At 41.4% G+C, this 3,131-nt stretch overlaps 1 annotated feature.

Moving 5' to 3' along the window:
• Positions 429-1,315: an enhancer, noted in NCBI's record as "H3K27ac hESC enhancer chr5:54870447-54871333 (GRCh37/hg19 assembly coordinates)". NCBI's record gives its function as "activates a minimal SCP1, AML or CMV promoter by ChIP-STARR-seq in naive H9 embryonic stem cells {active_cell/tissue: H9 hESC(naive)}" and the evidence as "EXISTENCE:reporter gene assay evidence [ECO:0000049][PMID:30033119]".

The following is a 3,131-nucleotide window of genomic DNA, read 5'->3' on the forward strand; positions in this document are numbered from 1 at the left end:
GAGACAGGATTTCACCATGTTACCCAGGCTGGTCTTGAACTCCTGGGATCAAATGATCCACCCACCTCCACCTCCTAAAGTGCTGGGACTACAGGCATGAGCCACTGTGCCTGGCCTGGAATTCCCTTTTCTATCCAACAGATATAATTTACAACTCTACTCTAGAAAAATAATTTTCATGTACAAAGTTGCATCTTTGGTGCACCTTTATGAAATAATAGATAAATGCACCAAAATAAATAAATGCACAAAGGTGCATTTATTTATTCTTATAAAGTTAATGTTTGCTGTTGGGGAAAAGCATGGGCTTTGGGGTCAGACAATCCTGGTTTTGTATCTTAGTTGGAATGTCTGTTTTTGTGTTACTCTGAGCAAATATTGCATTGTATTTCATTTCTCTAAGGGTCAGTTTCCTCATATGAATATAGGGATAGGCCAGGTGCGGTGGCTCACGCCTGTAATCCCAGCACTTTGGGAGGCCGAGGCAGGTGGATCCTTGAGGCCAGGAATTTGAAACCAGCCTGGCCAACATGATGTAACCTTGTCTCTACTACAAATACAAAAATCAGACGGGTGTGGTGGTGCAGACCTGTAATCCCAGCTACTCAGGATGCTGAGGCAGGAGAATCGCTTGAATCTTAGAGGTGGAGGTTGCAGTGAGCGGAGATCATGCCACTTCACTCCAGCTTGGGTAACAGAGCAAGACTCTGTCTTAAAAAAAAAAAAAAAAGAAAGAAAAGAAAATAGGGATAAGAATATCTATTTCACAGGGCTTTTGTGAGCATTAAATTAGATAAGTTATATAAATTACCTAGCATGGTGGTAGATCCTGGATCCAAACCCAGGCAGTGATGCTTCAGAGCCCATGCTTTTCATTGCTATCATCTGACTTTCCAGCCTACATGGAGAACTAACTGATAGGTCAAAATACAATACAGGGGCTGGGCACAGTGGCTCACGCCTGTAATCCCAGCATTTTGGGAGGCCAAGTCTGGTGGATTGCTTGAGGTCAGGAGTTTGAGACCAGCCTGGCCAACATGCTGAAAACCCATTTCTACTTAAAAAATACAAAGAATTAGCCTGGCATGGTGGTGCGAACCTGTAGTCCCAGCTACTCGGGAGGCTGAGACAACAGAATTGCTTGAACCCGGGAGGCAGAAGTTGCAGTGAGCCAAGATCACGCCACTGCACTCCAGCCTGGGTAACAGAGCGAGACTCCGTTTCAAAAAAAAAAAAAAAAATACAGTTTGTGGGGTGGGAGGGGTGTGTGTATTGTTCCAGAAAGGCAACACAAGGAATCCTTGTGGTGATGAAACCGTTCTGCATTTTGACTGTAGGGTGGATAGACAAAACTACACAAGTGATAATATTGTGTAAATACACCACCGCCCCCCCACCCCACCCCCCCCCCCCCGCCCAGTACAAGTAAAACTGGGAAATCTGGATGAAATTGCTGATTGTATCAACAGGCTGATTGTGATATTATACCATAGTTATAGAAAATGGTAACATTTCTACAAACAAAAAAACCCTCCTGAACAACAAAAAACTTAATGAATCCAATATTTTGAAAGATTTGGGAAACTATCCCAAAACATCCCAAAACTATCCCAAAAGCAAAGCTTGAAGCAACGTAAATTTTTTTTAATGGGGTCTCACTCTGTCACCCAGACTGGAGGGCAGCGGCGTGGTCACGTCTCACAGCTCTCTGCAGCCTTTACCTGCTGGGCTCAAGTGATTGGTCCACCTCAGCTTCCTGAGTAGATGGGACTACAGGCACATGCCACCATGTCCGGCTAATTTTTGTAATTTTTGTAGAGATAGGGTCTCACTATGTTGCCCAGGCTGGCCTCAACCTCCCAAAGTGCTGGGGTTACAGGCGTGAGCCACCATGCCCAGACACAACACAAATTGTTTAGTGTCTGTCCATTTAATCCCAGTTACTGAAAGTGAAACATAAGTGTGCAGTAAACATGATAACCATTCCACTATGGAAACCTCAACGAAAGTGAAACATAGTGAAATGGGCTCCAAATTATCAAAAGAGCTCCTTTTGGTCCAAATCATCTTGATATGTACCTAGAATCTCCACTTCAGCTTGTGTTTGGACACAGCTCAGCAAACAAATCTTTCATCATCATTAGGAATATCAAGATGAAGTGATATTTCAAAGAACTTAGCTGGTTCCATAGATAAGAAACTTTTACAGAAGTACATGTCAAACAGATCTTGCCCAACGGCTGAAGTAACAGATGAAATCCAACTGGTTTCCACAGAGTCTTATCTTTTCTTTCTGTGTGTTTGTTCTTATGCAAGTTCTGGGGCATTTATTTGGTTTTGAATATCTTCCTGCTGTGTGACTGTGGTTGAAATAATGAGTTGCTTGAATCACTTGCCTATTTTCTCTCTCATTTTTTTTTTTTTTTAAAGAGATGGGGTCCCACTATGTTGCTCAGGCTGATCTTGAACTCCTGAGCTCAAGTGATCCTCCCACTTGGGCCTCCCGAAGTCACTTGCCCATTCTCTAAGAGTATCCCATTATTGAAGACATTTCTGAACTAATTGATTTGCCTATATCAGGTTTACTGGCTTAAGAAGTGATTGAGAAGAGTAATAAAAACACAAGTCGGGTTTTTATTGCCAAAACAAAAACAGAAAATTATCCTGAGACTTCATTACTCATTTCTATTGTGGCAGATGCTGATGTTGCATCTGCCTGTTCTTGGAACATTTCTCTCACCACTCAAACTATACTTCCATTAGAAGACTGAAGAGGGAAGAAATAGAGAAAAACTTTTTCTATGGTGGCTTCATATCATAGTTCAATCTCACTTGATAGGTCAACTGCAAATTTATGATAAATCATGATATATGATGCCACATGATTCTACCATTGAAATATATTCAATCTCTCAGATAAAAGATGGTTGTTACAAAGGGGTAAAAAAAAGAAACCCTTTACTGGGTTTATTGAATTGGCAACTTGCTTTAAACCCTAAACAGTGGCAGTACTATTATTGTGCTCTGAACAGAGTGGGTGTTCCACAAATTCTTATTAATTATCTGTGATAAGAAGTCACAGGAAAAGAAAACAATCTACACATGGAACTATCCCAGTTAGAATTTGACAA

The sequence above is a fragment of the Homo sapiens genome, chromosome 5 (assembly GCF_000001405.40).
Source record: "Homo sapiens chromosome 5, GRCh38.p14 Primary Assembly".
Lineage (NCBI taxonomy): Eukaryota > Metazoa > Chordata > Mammalia > Primates > Hominidae > Homo > Homo sapiens.